Below are 20689 nucleotides of genomic sequence, written 5' to 3'. Positions count from 1 at the left end.
AATGGGATGGCTGGGTCAAATGGTATTTCTAGTTCTAGATCCCTGAGGAATTGCCACACTGACTTCCACAATGGTTGAACTAGTTTACAGTCCCACCAACAGTGTAAAAGTGTTCCTATTTCTCCACATCCTCTCCAGCACCTGTTGTTTCCTGACTTTTTAATGGTTGCCATTCTAACTGGTGTGAGATGGTAGGTATCTCATTGTGGTTTTGATTTGCGTTTCTCTGATGGCCAGTGATGATGAGCATTTTTTCATGTGTCTTTTGGCTGCATAAATGTCTTCTTTTGAGAAGTGTCTGTTCATATCCTTTGCCCACTTGTTAATGGGGTTGTTCGTTTTTTTCTTGTAAATTTGCTTGAGTTCATTGTAGACTCTGGATATTAGCCCTTTGTCAGGTGAGTAGGTTGTGAAAATTTTCTCCCATTTTGTAGGTTGCCTGTTCACTCTGATGGTAGTTTCTTTTGCTGTGCAGAAGCTCTTTAGTTTAATTAGATCCCATTTGTCAATTTTGGCTTTTGTTGCCATTGCTTTTGGTGTTTTAGACATGAAGTTCTTGCCCATACCTATGTCCTGAATGGTAATGCCTAGGTTTTCTTCTAGGGTTTTTATGGTTTTAGGTCTAATGTTTAAGTCTTTAATCCATCTTGAATTGATTTTTGTATAAGGTGTACGGAAGGGATCCAGTTTCAGCTTTCTACATATGGCTAGCCAGTTTTCCCAGCACCATTTATTAAATAGGGAATCCTTTCTCCATTGCTTTTAATTTAAAGTGTAAATAATGTAACCTTTCTGAAGTGTTTATTATTCATATTTTACAACAATCTTATTTGTATTTGACAAAATATAAATACAGAAAAATATGGAGACAATAATTTTCATTGATGTAATAAAGATTTAAATGGCATAAGTAGAAATAGGTATAAAACATCTACTTTTAAAATATATTTTCAGTGTTTATCAGATTAAGCCTGAACTATTGGGGAAAATAAATTAACCGAAATCCTTAAAAGAGTTTTGAACTCGAAAAGGAGCTATCAGCAGCACTTTTAGATGATCATCTTACTGAGAAACTCTTTGAGCCAAATACCAGTAGGATAGCAAATTTGAAGAACTGCTGTAATTACTCTGTGTGTGTGTGTGTGTGTGTGTGTGTGTGTCTGTGTGTCTGTGTTTTAACCTCAATATCTGTCTTCCTCGACAGCAATCACCTAAATATTCCTGTTACTAGTTACTGGATCTAACTTGGAACTGATTTTTTTTTTTTTTGAGACAGAGTCTCATTCTGTCACTCAGGTTGGAGTGCTGTGGGGCGATCTGGCTCACTGTAGTCTCCACCTCCTGGGCTCAAGTGATTCTTATCACTCAGCCTCCCTAGTAGTTGGGACTACAGGTGCCCGCCAAAATACCCGGCTGATTTTTGCCTTTTTTAGAAGAGATGGGGTTTCACCATATTAGCCAGGCTGGCCTTGAACTCCTGACTTCAAGTGATCCACCCGCCTCAGCCCCCCAAAGTTCTGGGATTACAGGCATTGGAATTGATTTTGAGAGAATTAAATAAATTGTTAATTTCCTGGATAAATCAATTGTATTCAACTAGTTTTTTAAAAAGTACCAAACGGAGGACACAGTGAAATATAGGGTCCTGCAATCTGAATGCCACCAATCTGGGGAAGAACATTTGTACACAAGCAACCAATTAATTTAATTATAAAAAAATGTTTTGTAAGAAGAGTTGCAAAGTGTGGCATGCTGTGCATTCCAAAATTTCCTCTAATATTTGACCATCAATTAATTATTCACTAAAGGACAAGGAATGTCAGAGTTACCTATTATTTCTTCAGGCAGTTGTCTATTTCCAGGAAATAGCTCTGGAGGTATTTCCCCCCCCTTTTTTATTCCTTCTCTAGTTGTAATTGAACATTTAATATTATTTCATTTAATACTTCTCTTAGCATATTGATTACACTTGTTTTTAAAATTTTGTTAGTGGTTCCTCTACAGTTTGCAATACACATTTTTAACCAATCCAAGTCCACCTTCAAGTAACTCTATATGACTTCATTTGTAATGTAGATGCCTCATAACAAAGTATTTCTAATTATTCCCTCCTGTCCATCCTTAGGACATTGCTGTCATTTATTTTACTTATTAATAAGCTATAATCACCCAATACATTGTTACTATTATGACTTTAAACAAACATTCTTTAGCTCAATTATGAATAAGAAAAAGATAGATTTTATTTAGCTGTTTTAATTTCTTATCCGAGGCTCTTTCTCTCTAAATGTAAATCTGAGTTTGTAAATCTATTATCATTTTCCTTCTTCCTGAACAACTTCTTTTAATATTTCTTACAAGACAGGTATGCTGTTGGTACATTTCTTCAGTTGCTGTTTGTTTGAGAAAGTCTTTATTTCTCCATCATTTTGTGAAAAATAATTTCCCTGGATCTAGTTGGTGTTTTTTTTTTCTTAAGCACTTCAATTATTTCATTCTACTCCCTTCTTGCTTTATAGTTTCTGACAAGAAGTTCGCTTTAATTCTTATCTTTGTATTTTTCCCTGTATAGGTAAAAATGCCATATTTTTTTCCTCTAATTTATTTCAAGGTTTTCTTTTTGTCTGATTTTCTGCAAGTTGAGTATGCTGTGACTAAGGGTAGGTCGACATTTTTGTTTGGAACTTACTGTGCTTTAGTGATCCCTGAGCTTCCTGGGTTTGTGACAGGGGGTCTCATTAATTTTGCAATGGTCTTGACTGCTAGTGCTTCAAATAATCCTTTTTGTCTTTTTCTTTGCCTAATATTTTAGTTATGCACATGTAACACTTGTGAAATTATCACACAGTTCTTAGGTATTCTGTTCTACTTGTATCATTTTTTTCTCTGCATTTTGGCATGAGAAATTCCCATTGACTTCGATTCAAGCACATTTATTCTTTCCTAGACTGTGCCCAGTCTATTAATGACACCAAAGGCATTCTTCTCAGCTGTTATAATGTTTTTGATTCTTTCTTGGACTTTTAATTTATCTGCTTACATTACCCTTCTGTTGCTCTCTGTTGTTTACTTTTTTCATTAGAGTCCCTAACATATTAATCATAGTGGTTTTAATTTCATGTTTGACAATCCCAACATCTGTGGCATATGAGTCTAGTTTGGATGCTTGCTTTGTCTCTGGAGAATGTGGTTTTTCTTACCTTTTAGTATGTCTTCTAATTTCTCCTTGAAAGCCGGATATAATGGGAACTGAGGCAAATGTCCTTTAATGTTAGCTTTTATGTCAATCTGGCTGGGAGTTTGCCTCTATGCAATGTTTGCTGTATCTGAATTTGTCACAGGCTTTAAATTACTTTGATGTCCTTTTTTAAAATGTTCCCTGATGACTTTGGGCTTCTTTAAGTACCCTTCCTCAGAGACAGCCTGCATGTTGCAGACCTTTTAGCTATAATCCACTGTCATTACACCGAGCTCTACTGGTGTGCTGGCAATGTGTGGCAGTGGAAATATTCTTTAATGTTATGATGAAATTTCAGTCTATATGAAATTTCAGATTATACCCCGCACCTGGCTCGGAAGGTTCTACACCCACGGAGCCTTGCTGATTGCTAGCACAGCAGTCTGAGATCAAACTGCAAGGCAGCAGCGAGGCTGGGGGAGGGGCGCCCACAATTGCCCAGGCTTGCTTAGGTAAACAAAGCAGCCGGGAAGCTCGAACTGGGTGGAGCCCACCACAGCTCAAGGAGGCCTGCCTGCCTCTGTAGGCTCCACCTCTGGGGGCAGGGCACAGACAAACAAAAAGACAGCAGTAACCTCTTCAGACTTAAATGTCCCTGTCTGACAGCTTTGAAGAGAGCAGGGATTCTACCAGTACGCAGCTGGAGATCTGAGAACGGGCAGACTGCCTCCTGAAGTCGGTCCCTGACCCCTGACCCCCGAGCTACCTAACTGGGAGGCACCCCCCAGCAGGGGCACACTGACACCTCACACTGCAGGGTACTCCAACAGACCTGCAGCTGAGGGTCCTGTCTGTTGGAAGGAAAACTAACAAACAGAAAGGACATCCACACCAAAAACCCATCTGTACATCACCATCATCAAAGACCAAAAGTAGATAAAACCACAAAGATGGGGAAAAAACAGAACAGAAAAGCTGGAAACTCTAAAAATCAGAGTGCCTCTCCTCCTCCAAAGGAACGCAGCTCCTCACCAGCAACGGAACAAAGCTGGACACAGAATGACTTTGACGAGCTGAGAGAAGAAGGCTTCAGATGATCAAATTACTCTGAGCTACGAGAGGACATTCAAACCAAAGGCAAAGAAGTTGAAAACTTTGAAAAAAATTTAGAAGAATGTATAACTAGAATAATCAATACAGAGAAGTGCTTAAAGGAGCTTATGGAGCTGAAAACCGAGGCTCGAGAACTACATGAAGAATGCAGAAGCCTCAGGAGCCGATGCCATCAACTGGAAGAAAGGGTATCAGCAATGGAAGATGAAATGAATGAAATGAAGTGAGAAGGGAAGTTTAGAGAAAAAAGAATAAAAAGAAATGAGCAAAGCCTCCAAGAAATATGGGACTATGTGAAAAGACCAAATCTACGTCTGATTGGTGTACCTGAAAGTGATGGGGAGAATGGAACCAAGTTGGAAAACACTCTGCAGGATATTATCCAGGAGAACTTCCCCAATCTAGCAAGGCAGGCCAACATTCAGATTCAGGAAATACAGAGAACACCACAAAGATACTCCTCGAGAAGAGCAACTCCAAGACACATAATTGTCAGATTCACCAAAGTTGAAATGAAGGAAAAAAATGTTAAGGGCAGCCAGAGAGAAAGGTCGGGTTACCCTCAAAGGGAAGCCCATCAGACTAACAGCGGATCTCTTGGCAGAAACCCTACAAGCCAGAAGAGAGTGGGGGCCAATATTCAACATTCTTAAAGAAAAGAATTTTCAACCCAGAATTTCATATCCAGACAAACTAAGCTTTATAAATGAAGAAGAAATAAAATCCTTTACAGACAAGCAAATGCTGAGAGATTTTGTCACCACCAGGCCTGCCCTAAAAGAGCTCCTGAAGGAAGTGCTAAACATGGAAAGGAACAATCGGTACCAGCCGCTGCAAAACCATGCCAAAATATAAAGGCCATCGAGACAAGGAAGTAACTGCATCAACTAACGAGCAAAATAACCAGCTAACATCATAATGACAGGATCAAGTTCACACATAACAATATTAACTTTAAATGTAAATGGACTAAATGCTCCAATTAAAAGACACAGACTGGCAAATTGGATAAAGAGTCAAGACCCATCAGTGTGCTGTATTCAGGAAACCCATCTCATGTGCAGAGACACACATAGGCTCAAAATAAAAGGATGGAGGAAGATCTACCAAGCAAATGGAAAACAAAAAAAAAAGGCAGGGGTTGCAATCCTAGTCTCTGATAAAACAGACTTTAAACCAACAAAGATCAAAAGAGACAAAGAAGGCCATTACATAATGGTAAAGGGATCAATTCAACAAGAAGAGCTAACTATCCTAAATATATATGCACCCAATACAGGAGCACCCAGATTCATAAAGCAAGTCCTGAGTGACCTATAAAGAGACTTAGACTCCCACACACTAATAATGGGAGACTTTAACACCCCACTATCAACATTAGACAGATCAACGAGACAGAAAGTCAACAAGGATACACAGGAATTGAACTCAGCTCTGCACCAAGCAGACCTAATAGACATCTACAGAACTCTCCACCCCAAATCAACACAATATACATTTTTTTCAGCACCACACCACACCTATTTCAAAATTGACCACATACTTGGAAGTAAAGCTCTCCTCAGCAAATGTAAAAGAACAGAAATTATAACAAACTATCTCTCAGACCACAGTGCAATCAAACTAGAACTCAGGATTAAGAGTCTCACTCAAAACTGCTCAACTACATGGAAACTGAACAACCTACTCCTGAATGACTACTGGGTACATAACAAAATGAAGGCAGAAATAAAGATGTTCTTTGAAACCAATGAGAACAAAGGCACAACATACCAGAATCTCTGGGACGCATTCAAAGCAGTGTGTAGAGGGAAATTTATAGCACTAAATGCCCACAAGAGAAAGCAGGAAAGATCCAAAATTGACACCCTAACATCACAATTAAAAGAACTAGAAAAGCAAGAGCAAACACATTCAAAAGCTAGCAGAAGGCAATAAATAACTAAAATCAGAGCAGAACTGAAGGAAATAGAGACACAAAAAACCCTTCAAAAAATTAATGAATCCAGGAGCTGGTTTTTTGAAAGGATCAACAATATTGAAAGACCGCTAGCAAGACTACTAAAGAAAAAAAGAGAGAAGAATCAAATAGACACAATAAAAAATGATAAAGGGGATATCACCACCGATCCCACAGAAATACAAACTACCATCAGAGAATACTACAAACACCTCTGCGCAAATCAACTAGAAAATCTAGAAGAAATGGATAAATTCTTGTACACATACACTTTCCCAAGACTGAAGCAGGAAGAAGTAGAATCTCTGAATAGACCAGTAACAGGATCTGAAATTGTGGCAATAATCAATAGCTTACCAACAAAAAAGAGTCCAGGACCAGATGGACTCACAGCTGAATTCCACCAGAGGTACAAGGAGGAACTGCTACCATTCCTTCTGAAACTATTCCAATCAATAGAAAAAGAGGGAATCCTCCCTAAGTCATTTTATGAGGCCAGCATCATTCTGATACCAAAGCTGGGCAGAGACACAACGAGAAAAGAGAATTTTAGACCAATATCCTTGATGAACAATGATGCAAAAATCCTCAATAAAATACTGGCAAAACGAATCCAGCAGCACAACAAAAAGCTTATCCACCATGATCAAGTGGGCTTCATCCCTGGGATGCAAGGCTGGTTTGATATATGCAAATCAATAAATGTAATCCAGCATATAAACAGAGCCAAAGACAAAAACCACATGATTATCTCAATAGATGCAGAAAAGGCCTTTGACAAAATTCAACAAACCTTCATGCTAAAAACTCTCAATAAATTAGGTATTGATGGGATGTATTTCAAAATAATAAGAGCTATCTATGACAAACCCACAGCCAATATCATACTGAATGGGCAAAAACTGGAAGCATTCCCTTTGAAAACTGGCACAAGACAGGGGTGCCCTCTCTCACCCTTCCTATTCAGCATAGTGTTGGAAGTTCTGGCCAGGGCAATTAGGCAGGAGAAGGAAATAAAGGGTATTCAATTAGGAAAAGAGGAAGTCAAATTGTCCCTGTTTGCAGAAGACATGATTGTATATCTAGAAAACCCCATTGTCTCAGCCCAAAATCTCCTTAAGCTAATAAGCAACTTCAGCAAAGTCTCAGGATACAAAATCAATGTGCAAAAATCACAAGCATTCCTATACACCAACAACAGACAAACAGAGAGCCAAATCATGAGTGAACTCCCATTCACAATTGCTTCAAAGAGAATAAAATACCTAGGAATCCAACTTACAAGGGATGTGAAGGACCTCTTCAAGGAGAACTACAAACCACTGCTCAAGGAAATAAAAGAGGATACAAACAAATGGAAGATCATTCCATGCTCATGGGTAGGAAGAATCAATATCGTGAAAATGGCCATACTGCCCAAGGTAATTTACAGATTCAATGCCATCCCCATCAAGCTACCAATGCCTTTCTTCACAGAATTGGAAAAAACTACTTTAAAGTTCATATGGAACCAAAAAAGAGCCTGTGTCGCCAAGTCAATCCTAAGCCAGAAGGACAAAGCTGGAGGCATCACACTACCTGACTTCAAACTATACTACAAGGCTACAGTAACCAAAACAGCATGGTACTGGTACCAAAACAGAGATATAGATCAATGGAACAGAACAGAGCCCTCAGAAATAACGCCACATATCTACAACTATCTGATCTTTGACAAACCTGCCAAAAACAAGCAATGGGGAAAGGATTCCCTATTTAATAAATGGTGCTGGGAAAACTGGCTAGCCATATGTAGAAAGCTGAAACTGGATCCCTTCCGTACACCTTATACAAAAATCAATTCAAGATGGATTAAAGACTTAAACATTAGACCTAAAACCATAAAAACCCTAGAAGAAAACCTAGGCATTACCATTCAGGACATAGGCATGGGCAAGGACTTCATGGCTAAAACACCAAAAGCAATGGCAACAAAGGACAAAATTGACAAATGGGATCTAATTAAACTAAAGAGCTTCTGCACAGCAAAAAAAACTACCATGAGAGTGAACAGGCAACCTACAAAATGGGAGAAAATTTTTGCAACCTACTCATCTGACAAAGGGCTAATACCCAGAATCTACAATGAACTCAAACAAATTTACAAGAAAAAAACAAACAACCCCAACAAAAAGTGGGCGAAGGACATGAACCGATACTTCTCAAAAGAAGACATTTATGCAGCCAAAAGACACATGAAAAAATGCTCATCATCACTGGCCATCAGAGAAATGCAAATCAAAACCACAATGAGATACCATCTCACACCAGTTAGAATGGCAACCATTAAAAAGTCAGGAAACAACAGGTGCTGGAGAGGATGTGGAGAAATAGGAACACTTTTACACTGTTGGTGGGACTGTAAACTAGTTCAACCATTGTGGAAGTCAGTGTAGCGATTCCTCAGGGATCTAGAACTAGAAATACCATCTGACCCAGCCATCCCATTAGTGGGTATATACCCAAAGGACTATAAATCATGTTGCTATAAAGACACATGCACACGTATGTTTATTGTGGCATTATTCACAATAGCAAAGACTTGGAACCAACCCAAATGTCCAACAATGATAGACTGGATTAAGAAAATGTGGCACATATACACCATGGAATACTATGCAGCCATAAAAACTGATGAGTTCATATCCTTTGTAGGGACATGGATGAAATTGGAAATCATCATTCTCAGTAAACTATCGCAAAAACAAAGAACCAAACACTGCATATTCTCTCTCATAGGTGGGAATTGAACAATGAGATCACATGGACACAGGAAGGGGAACATCACACTCTGGGGACTGTTGTGGGGTGGGGGGAGGGGGGAGGGATAGCATTGGGAGATATACCTAATGCTAGATGATGAGTTAGTGGGTGCAGTGCACCAGCGTGGCACATGTATACGTATGTAACTAACCTGCACAATATGCACATGTACCCTAAAACTTAAAGTATAATAATAAAAAAAAAAGAAAAAGAAAAAAAAAGGATTTTCAGTCTTTTTAGTGGGCTTTTTTCCTCCACTGTGAAGACTGTGACATTCGGGAATATTTCTTATCTTTCTCTCCCATTAGGTGAGACAGGGAGCCTAGAAAGGGCTGAGGGTGAGAAGAAAATGCCCTTACCTTAGATGAGATAAAGTTCTAGTAGTGTCTTTTTCCCTGAAAAGTAGGCCTTTGCTATAAAGACTCTCTAGATATATTTCTCAGTAATCACTCTTCCTCTTCCTCTGCCTGAGCAATAAGGATATATTTCTTGGCTCTTCATCATGAGAACCTAGTGAGGTTCTTGGAGGTAAAACCCATGAAATTGTGGGCCTCACGCCCCAGACTGCAATGCCCCAAGAGTTTCTCATTCTCATGCTAGTCCAGAACCAGCTTCCAGCAATTCATCAAAATTACTGTTAAAATGTTTTAACAAGTTTATGGCTCTAGCAGCTACTGTTTCAGGTTAGCAGGGCTTGACTGTGACGCTCTGGATTTACTTGTCTTTCCAGATTTAGGGTGGAGGTTTGCCTTGCAGCTCAGTTCTTTAATGAGTCCAAGAAAAGTCACTGATTTCCAGTTTGTTCATTTTTTTCTTGTTGTAAGAACAGGAGTGACAACTTTTAAGCTCTTTAGATGTAGGAGCCAAAACCAAAAGTTTTTGAGGAAACATATGTAACACAGTGTTCCTAAAAATAAGTTAAGCAAAGATCTTCTTAACTTGGAGAAAATATGAATAGAAATAAAAATGAAATCAGAATTATTTCCTTTTGATTTTATGCATCTATGATTGCAATATGCATTTTAAATGTCAAAATATTAATATGTCTTTTATGTATCATAAGCAGATGTGAAATTGGGTAGTATGAAAAAACTTACCTGTCTTTTTTGTCATTACTAAAAAAATAAATAAACCAAGTGTATTGGTCCGTTTTCACACTGCTGATAAAGACATACCTGAGACTGGGTAATTTATATGGAAAAAGGTTTATTGGATTTACAGTTCCACATGGCTGAGAAGGCCTCATGATCATGGTGGAAGGCAGGAGGAGCAAGTCACATCTTACATGGATGGCAGCAGGCAAAAAAAGAGAGCTTGTGCAGGGAAACTCACGTTTTTAAAACCATCAGATCTTGTGAGACCCATTCACTATCATGAGACCAGAAAGGGAAAGACCTGCCCTCCATGATTCAATCACCTCCCACCAGGTTCCTCCCACAACACATGGGAATTCAAGATGAGATTTGGGTGGGGACACAGCCAAACCATATCACCAAGAGAAAGCTGTTTTTTTTTTTTTTAAATCAACTTAGACTCTGAGTATAAATTCAAAGACAGGTACCTACACTTGTAAATCCTTGCCATATAACACATGATTTTGCTTGAAGTTTGAGCAGTATAAAGTGTGATTTTTCCAAAGTTAATGCATCCCAAGTCATGCTGGGCTGTCTTGTGCACAAAGACTTAGCTATTCCTTTGAAGCTATTTTTCATACAGTCTTTAAATATAAGCACCATAAAACACTTCATTCTTATTTTAAAAGTTTTCTATATTTGGATCTAACAGAATTATGCCTAGCACACAGTAGGTGCTCTATATATGTCTAATGAATTAAATATTTTGATATTACATCAAGTATTATAATATCAGGTTCAACATTCTTCCTAAATAAATGATGAACTAGGCCACTTTATACCTTAAAAATGTAAGAATCTCTCCATCACTTAAGAGCAGGTATCCTCTCCTTGCCCTCTTTTAAATGTATATCTTCCTCACAGTCTCATTAACAGAGAACTGAATTTTGGGAAACAGAAAAGGATTTGCTTCCTTTATCTTGAATGGTAGGTTGAAAAATTACTCAACAAGGGTTGATCTAATCAAAACTGCTAAGCTGATGAAATTCATTTCTGGCAACATTTAAGCATCCTTTCTGCACCATTTCCTGTTGATTTCATCTCTTCTCTACCAGCATCTCAAGACCAAAATCCCTTACTTGGTGTAACAATTCAGGACTGATCTGAAATTATTACTCATATCTTATTTATCTCTGAAACAGGGATTTTTTGTTTTGTTTTGTTTATTCATGTGACTCATCTCAATTAGGTGCTCAGTGGAAAGAAAAAATACCTCTAATTAGCACTGACTTATAAAGGACTGGCAGCTTTCCAAGGTCCATTTGCTCTGGAAGGGTAGGTGGCTAAACCAAATGAATCACTGATTGAGTTTTAAGTGACTGTGTGATTTAGTGAAAGGGAGATCATTGAAATTCTATCTAAAGCTGGGGCCAGGGCTGGGCCTGAGATCAAAACTTCTATTGGAATCAGGATTAGTCCCAGTTCTAGTTTCTGCTTTCCCCTGGAATGGGTAAGCACAAAAGTATAGGGAAACCAAAAACAGTTTGTGCTTAGAGGGTGCAATATCCATGAATTCAGCAGATGAAGTTGTAGGCCAGACAAGGTTTGAAGCAGAAAGTATCAATGTCTAGTATACCAGATCTACCAGTACCAGGTGCTAAATAAAAGGAACAGATTAGCAGAAGCCCTTGAAGAAACCCACACTCTTTCAAGTGACCTAGATGCCCAATTTTTTGTTTTGTCTTCAGATTTCCCAAAATGAAAGAAGATTCATTTCAATACTATCTGAGAATTATTTTGATTTAAGATGTGATGAAATTCTACTGATCATATGGGTATAAATCTGATAGAGGTTAAGAAATGATGCATAATGAGAATAGTTGTGATTTTAAAATCATAGTGTATGACTCCAATGCAAAAGCAGAATACACCTTTAGTGAAACCCAAATGTTACGCATTCTACTGGAGTCAATACAATGAGAATTCACTATCACAAGAACAGAACGGGAAAGACCTGCCCCCATGATTCAGTCACCTCCCACCAGGTCCCTCCCACAACATGTGGAAATTGTGCCAATGGAATAAATTGATTATTCAAGAAAAGTTCATATTATAGAAGAGGGGAGGGAAATGCCTGCATGGCTAAAGAGAATGGAATAAACTAATCAAGAGGCAAAGAAAAGTGAGTAGAAATTTTTGAAATTTCAGAATTTGTGATCACTTTGAATCAGAGCCAACAAAGATTAACTGCTTAAGGAAAGATGTATCTAATATTTTTAAGGTATTCCTTAAAAATATTTGTTTTTTAATGTTTAAATTTATTTATATTTATTATATTTAAATTTATTTATTATATTTAAATTTATTTTTAAAATATTTAATATTTAAGGGAAACTTTGAAGGAAATACTTTTAAGGTATCCCTTAAAAATATTTCCTTCAAAGTTTCCCTTAAATCCAGCCGGGTGCGGTGGCTCATGCCTGTAATCTCAACACTTTGGGAGGCTGAGGCAGGTGGATCAGCTGAGGTCAGGAGTTTGTGACCAGCCTGACCAATATGGTGAAACCCCATCTCTACTAAAAATACAAAAATTAGGCAGGTGTGGTGGCCTGTGCCTGTAGTCCCAGCTACTCAGGAGACTGAGACAGGAGAATTGCTTGAACCTGGTAAGTGGAGGTTGCAGTGAGGCAAGATTGTGCCACTGCACTGCAGCCTGGGTGATAGAGCGAGACTCTGTCTCAAAAAAAAAAAAAAAAAAAAAAAAAAAAAAAAAAAAAAAAAAAAAAACTTCCCTTAAATCCAAAGGGAAAGAAAAGTATATTATTTATATTGTATAACGAAATCCAATAAAACCCCTTTTCCTTCAAAATAAACAGTTTCCTTTATACAACACACATTCTGATATAGAATAAATTTGTCATGGACTTTTAAAAGTAATTTATTTACTATTATGTAAAACCAGACAAAGTTCTACCTAGCTAATAATGAAGCAAGCTGATAACGTTACAAAATCATAGGTTTTAAAAACCCATTAAAGAGTCAAGAACGCAAATAAACCTAAATAAAGAAACTCATAGCTGCTTTCATTTATGGAAACACAACAAGAGGGAATCTGTTATAAAGAGATGTCAGTCTAATTATTACCAAATTTCTAGTAGTCACCTGTGGTCCAGAGTGATGGATGGATTAGAATCCTATGGACTTCCAGCTTCAGAGAACCTATACCCACCCTACAACCCTTATCTTCACTGAGTGCACAGCAGTTGTGTACCAAAGACTGGGGCCAGGTAGGACAGCCCAACAACACACACACACACACACACACACACACACACACACACACACACACACACACACACATTCTTTCTGTCTCTGTCTCTCTCTTTCCTCCTTTTTCTCTGGTCTTTTGCATCTGCACCAAATGTGCTGGAGCAAACTTTCAGGGCTTGACGAAGAAATAGGACAGAGAAAAATTTTCCTGGATTCAGAGAATCTGAAGACAGGACTAAAGGAAAAGAAAAATCTGTATTGATGAAAGAGGTGGCACTGAACTGTAAGGCAGAGAACCATCTCTTATGCTTTGAAAAGCTGATAGCTAAAAGTATAAAGAGACTAAAGCTGATGGACTAAAGTAAAGAATAAAGAGGGCTTTGGAGTCTTCCAGTGTTCAGATTCTAAGCCCCACTTGATTGAAAAGTCCTAATATCTTCTTCAAAATATTGGAAGACAAAAGTTAGCTAAATCTAAGTGAAGCTACAATAAGTCAACCTAAAGATGCAAACTCTGACAAAATTAAAATTCCAGAAGGAAAAACAGAAAAAGTATTTGATAGGCTTAGCAGCAGATTTGACAAAGCAGTAGAAATGATAAATGAACTTGGAGGCAGGACAATAGGAATCATTCAAACCAAAACACAAAGAGAAAAAAAGGAGAAAAATGGGACAGGGCATTCAAGATCTATAGGATTAAAATCAAGCAGTTTAACATTCACATAAACGGAGTCCCAGAAGGAGAGGAGAAAATGAATGGGACAGAAGAAATATTTGCACATATTATCTCTATAATTGTTCAAAATTGATACAAAGCTATTAACCCATATATCCAAGAAACTTGGCAAAACCCATAGAATAAATACAAAGTAAACTACACTAAAAAAACTCATAGTCAAAAGATGAACACCAAGGATTAAGTGAAAATTCATAAAAGTAATAAAGAAGAAAAACCCTGACAGCTTACACACAGATAAAAATGATAAGAATGATAGCTTCTTGCTAGAAAAATATCTTTTTTTGGATAGATACAAGTGATCCTTATTCAGTTGATGTAATAGCACTGTCAGAACATAAGGCCAACATATTAGAATACCAAGCTGCTGATTACATATATTCTGACAATGAGGTTTTATATATTTTTTAAATAATGTAATAATTTTCTTTTATATTTTTTCTATTCCCTCAAGCATTTATTTTTCCAGATACAAACAATCCAATTACATTGCTTGTTATTTTAAAACATACAGTTAAGTTACTATTCACTGTAGTCACCCTTTTATGCTACCAAATAGTAGGACTTATTCACTCTTTGACTTTTTGTACCCATTAAAAATCTCCACCTCCCCCAACCCCCGACTACCCCTCCCGCCTCTGGTTCTCTATATCCATGTCTCTATTCTCTATGTCCATGAGTTCACTTGTTTGATTTTTAGATCCCACAAATAAGTGAGAACATACGATGTTTGTCTTTCTGTGCCTGGCTTATTTCACTTGATATAATGATCTCCAGTTCCACCTATGTTGTTGCAAATGATTGGATCTCATTCTTTTTTATGACTGAATAGTACTCTATTGTGTATATGCTCCACATTTTCTTTATCCATTCATCTGTTGATGGACACTTAGGTTGCTTCTGAATCTTAGCTATTGTAAACAGTGCTGCAACAAACATAAGAGCACAGCTATATCTTCAATATACTGATGTACTTTTTTTGCATATATACCCAGCAGAGGGATTGCTGGATCATATGGCAGCTCAATTTTTAGTTTGTTGAGGATCCTCGAAACTGACCTCCATAGTGGTTGTACTAATTTACATTTCCACCAGCAATGTTCAAGAGTTCCCCTTTCTCCACATCCTTGCCAGCATTTGTTATTGCCTGTGTTTTTGAAATAGCCATTTTAACTGGTGTGAGATGATACCTTACTGTAGTTTTGATTTATATTTCTCTGATGATCAATGACCTTGAGCACCTTTTTTTTTTTCTTTTGAGACAGAGTCTCCCTTTATTGCCCAGGCTGGAGTACAGTGGCACAATCTCGGCTCACTGCAACCTCCACCTCCTGGGTTCAAGCAATTCTCCTGCCTCAGCCTCCCGAGTAGCTGGGACTACAAGTATACACCACCATGCCTGGCTAGTTTTTGTATTTTTAGTAGAGGTGAGGTTTCACCATATTGGCCAGCCTGGTTTTGAACTCCTGACCTCATATCTGCCCGCCTCAGCCTCCCAAAGTGCTGGGATTACAGGCGTGAGCCACTGTGCCTGGTCCCATAAGAGCACCTTTTTATATGTCTATTTGCCACTTGTATGTCTTCCTTTGAGAAATTTCTATTCAAACCTTTTGCCCATTTTTTTTGATCAGATTATTAGGCTCTTTGTTCCTATAGAGTTGGTTGAGCTTCTTAAATATGGAAGCTGGTAACGTGACAAGGGATTACTTATTAATCCCTTGTCAGATGGGTAGTTTGCAAATATTTTCTCTAGGTCCATTTGGTGTATAGTGCAGATTAATTCTGATGTTTCTTTATTGATTTTCTATCTGGAAGATATGTCCAATGCTGAAAGTGGAGTGTTGAAGTCCCCAGCAATTATTGTATTGAAATATGTCTATTATATAGACATATTTATAGACATATAATTATATATGTCATTATATAGACACACAATATGTCTATTATATAGATATATTTCTCTTTAGCTCTAATAATATTTGCTTTATACCTGGGTACTCTAGCATTGGGTGCATATATATTTAAAATTGTTATAGGCTTTTGCTGAATTGACTGCTTCATCATTATATAGTGACCTTCTTTGTCTCTTCTTACAATTTTTGTCCTGAAATCTATTTTGTCTGATATAAGTATAGCGACTAGTGCTCCTTTTTGGTTTTCATTGTCATGGAATGTCTTTTTCCATCCCTTTATTTTCAGTGTCTTCATAGGTTAAGGGTGTTTCTTGTAGAAAGCAAATCAGTGTATCTTGTTTTAACATCCATTCAGCCAATCTATATCTTTTGATTGGAAAGTTTTGTCTATATACATTCAATGTAATTATTGATAAGTAAGTACTGACTATTGCCATTTTGTTATTTGTTTTCTGATTGCTTTGTGGTCTTCTCTTCCTTCTTTCCTGTCTTCCTCTAGTGAAGGAGATTTTCCCTGTTGAAATGATTTAATTTCTTGATTTTTATTTTGTGTGTATTTAATGTATGTTTTTTTGATTTGAGGTTACCATGAGGCTTGTAAATACTACCTTATAATGCATTATTTTAACCTGATAACAACTTCACACTATTTTCATAAACAAACAAATAAGAAAAAAGAAAACTAATAAAATTCCATGCCTTAACTTCATCCCTCTGCTTTTTAAGTTTTTGTTGTTTCTATTTATCTCTTATTATACTTGAAAAGTTATAGAAAAGATATCTTATTGTATCTTGAAAATTTGTTGTAATTATTTTGATTGCTTCATTATTTAGTCTTTCTATTTAGGATAAAAGTAGTTTACACATCACAGGTACAGTTTTATAACATTCTGCATTTTTCTGTGTACTTACTATTACCAGTGAGTTCATCTTAAGGTGATTATTTATTGCTCATTAATGTCCTTTTCTTTCTGATTGATGTACTCCCTTTAGCATTTATTGTAGGACAAGTCTGGTGTTGATGAAATCCTTCAGCTTTTGTTTGTCTGGGAAAGTCCTTATTTCTTCTTTGTGTTTGAAGATATACTATTCTAGGGTAAAAATATTTTCTTTCAGCACTTTAAATACGTCATGCTACTCTCTCCTGGCCTGTAAGGTTCCCATCACAAAGTTTGCTACCAGACATATTAGAGCTCCACTGTGTGTTATTTGTTTCTTTTCTCTTGCTTCTTTTAGGATCCTTTCTTCATCCTTGATTTTGGGAGTTTGATTTTTAAATGCCTCAAGATACTTTCTTTGTGTTAAATCTGCTTGGTGTTTTATAACCTTCTTGTATTTGAATATTGATATATTTCTCTAGATTTGTGAAGTTGGCTGCTATTATATCTGCCAATAAACTTTTGACCACTATATATTTTTCTACCTCCTCTTTAAGGACAGTAACTTTTAAATATGCCATTTTGAGGTTATTTTCTAGATCCTGTAGGCATGTTTCATTCTTCTTTATTCTTTTTTCTTTTGTTTCCTCTGACTGTGTATTTTTGAATAGCCTATTTTCAAGCTCAGCAATTTTTTCTTCTGCTTGATCAAGTCTTCTATTAAAGGACTCTGACACATTCTTCAGTATGCCAATTGTATCTTTCAGCTCCAGAATTTCTGCTTGATTATTTTGATTTTAATATCTTTCTTAAATTTGATATAATTATGAATTCCTTCCCTGTGTTATATTGAATTTCTTTGAGTTTCTTCAACACAGCTATTTTAAATACTCTGTCTTAAAGGTCACATATCTCTGTCTTTCCAGGATTGGCCCCTGGTGGCTTATTTAATTCATTTGGCAAAGTCATGTTTTCCTGGATGGTGTTGGTGCTAATAGATGTTCTTTGGTGTCTGTGCATTGAAAAGTTAGGAATTTATTGTAGCCTTCACTGTCTGGGCTTATGTATAGCCCTTCTTCCTGGGAAGGATTTACAGACATATGAAAGGACTTGGTTGTTGTGATCTAAGCTGTATCTGATTCAGTGGGTACCCAAGCCCAGTAACACTATGGTTCTTGCAGACTTGTAGAGGTACCATCTTAATAGTCTTGGGCAAGGTCTGGGAGAATTCTCTTGGTTTCCAGGCAGAGACTCTTGCTGTCTTCCGTTACTTTCTTCCAAACAAACAGTCTTTCTCTTTCTGTGCTGAGCCATCCAAAGCTGGGGATAGAGTGACACAAGCACCCCTGTGGCCACCACTACTATGACTGTGCTGGATCAGACCTGAAGCTAGTATAGCACTGGGTCTCACCCAAGACCTGCTGTAACCACTCCCTGGCTACTGCCTATGTTCACTCAAGGACCTGGGGCTCTACAATTAGCAGGTGGCAAAGCCAGCCAGGATCGTGGTTTTTTATTTGTTTGTTTGTTTGTTTGTTTGTTTGTTTTTTCCAGCATGGCAAGGTCGTCCACGTCCCAGGTGGGTCCAGGCATGCCATCTGGGAGTCAAGAACTGGAGTCAAAGACTTTAGAACTTTACTTGGTTTTCTATCATACTGAGGCTGAGCTGGCACTCAAACCACAAGATGCAGTCCTTTTCACTCTTTCTTTTCATTTCTAAAGACTGAGGAGAGGAGTCTCACTCTGTAGCCACCTTTACCCCAGGCCTCAAAAAGTACTTCCAGACTGCCCCTGATGCTCCCTTAAGGCTCAAAGTCTCTTAAATCAGCTTGTTGTGAATGCTGCCTGGCCTGGGATTCATACTTCAGAGTAGTGGACTTCCCTCTGGCCCACAGCAGGACCAGAAATGACATCCAAAAGTCAAGTCCTATAATCAGGGATTCCAAGAGCCCATTTGGTGCTCTACCCACCATGGCGGTGTTGGTACCTAAGGTGCAAGACAAAGTCTCCATTCCCTTTCCCTCTGCTTTTCTCAAGCAGAAGGAGTTTTGCCCTGTAGCCACCACAGTTGGTAATGTGCTGAGACTTACCTAAAGTCAGCAAGTCTCAGAGGGTCACCCAAGGTCCTCGATATAGTACCTGGGTATCACTGTTATTAATTCAGGGCCCAGGGGCTTTTCAATAAGCAGGTGATGAGTGCTGGAAGGACTGAGTCCTTTCCTTTAAAAAAGCAGGTTCGCTTCTGGCCCAGGATGTGTCTAGAAATATTTTTTGGGAGCTAGGGCCTGGAATGGGTGTCTGACAACTCTGAGCAGTGCCTTATCCTGCTGTGGCTGAGCTGGTATTCAAGATGCAAAACAAAGTCCTCCCCACTCTTCCCTCTCCTTCCCTCAAATAAAAGGAAGGGGTTTCTTTTGGAGCCTCCAGCCGTGCAGTTTGTGTTAGGGAGGTTTGATGCCAGCACTCTCTTGGCTACCTTAGCTGGTATCTCAGTAGATTGTGTGCCCCCATCCCCCCAAGTCCACTGTCTCTGTTCCTAGTTCAGCACTAGGATTCACCTAAGATTCGCAGTCCTTATGGCCTAGACTGTCTTTCAAGTTTCCTTGGAAACACAGAACACTCAAGCCATCAGTGGCGAGGTTTGCCAAAACTCAAGCAGGGACTGCTGGGGTTGGCAATTCCCCTCTGGCTAGGGCTGGTTTAAATGTTCCCTCTGTGTTGGGGATGTCAGTTGAGTTTGGTCCGATTTTCCTTTCTGCTCTAATACCACTGAGGACACCACTGTGTTCAATGCCTCACAATTGCTGTCCTCTCCCTCCCCCAGTGCCTGGAGATGCTGTCCACATCATGCAGCTGCTCGGGGTAAGGGATGGAGAGCTGGAGGGGTGGCATCTGTGTTTACTATCTCTTCAATGCCTCTTTCAGAAATAAATAGTTAAACCAGGCAGTATGAGTACTCACTTGATTTTTATCCTTACGAGGGTGTTTTTTCTGTGTAGATGATTGTTAAATTGGTGTCCTTGTCGGGGGAACAATTGGTGGAGCCATCTTACTCTGTCTCCCCTGGAAATATATCTTAAAAGAACTGAAAGAAAGCAAAAAAAAAAAAAAAAAACACTGTTATAATAAAATTCTATCTCCAGTGAATATATGCTCTATGTACAAAGATAAATTAAATAAACTTTCAGATAGACAAAAGATAAAAGCTGAGAAATTTGTCTCCAGGAAGCCTGCACTATAGAATAAAATAAATTATTTAGACTAAAGCAAGTGATGCCCAGATCTGCAAGAAACCATTAAAAATGCCAAAGGGGAAATTTGTTGGTGAATATAAATATATATATACACAGACACACATACATATATACACATATATGTATATTTAAGTTTTCTATTGCTGCTGCAATAAATTACCACGATCTTACAAACATAGTGGTTTAAAATAACATTTGTTTTCTCAAGGTTCTGTTGATTCAGCTGGTTTCTCTGCCCTGGGTTTTGCATTTGCAGGCCCAAACCAGGTGTCAACAAGCTGGGCACTTATTTAGAGGCTCTGGGAGTAATCCTCAGAATCCAGTACCTTGTGATTATAGGGCCAAGATCTCACTGTCCTGATGGCTGTCAGCCGGAGGCCATCCTTACCACTTAGAGTTCTCTTTAGGCTTACTTGTGGGCTCTGCATCTTAGACGCAGCAATACTTCTCACACTTGGCATCTCTCAGTGGTCATATAATAAGAATTATACTAAAAATCATATAATCATCTCA

At 38.1% G+C, this 20689-nt stretch overlaps 1 long non-coding RNA gene across 1 annotated transcript in view; it reads right to left on the bottom strand.

Annotated features, from left to right (window-relative positions):
• Positions 1 to 20007, bottom strand: part of LOC124909399 (uncharacterized) — a 38409-nt gene extending 18402 nt beyond the window's left edge. Inside the window, exon 1 of the long non-coding RNA XR_007095979.1 lies at positions 19884 to 20007. This is a non-coding gene — a long non-coding RNA (uncharacterized LOC124909399). The remainder of the gene's footprint in view (positions 1 to 19883) is intronic.
• Between the last annotated feature and the right edge of the window lie 682 nt (positions 20008 to 20689).

Source organism: Homo sapiens, chromosome 3, assembly GCF_000001405.40.
Source record: "Homo sapiens chromosome 3, GRCh38.p14 Primary Assembly".
Lineage (NCBI taxonomy): Eukaryota > Metazoa > Chordata > Mammalia > Primates > Hominidae > Homo > Homo sapiens.
The sequence above is the reverse complement of the archived record's forward strand: the minus strand, read 5'-3'. Positions and strand labels throughout refer to the sequence as shown.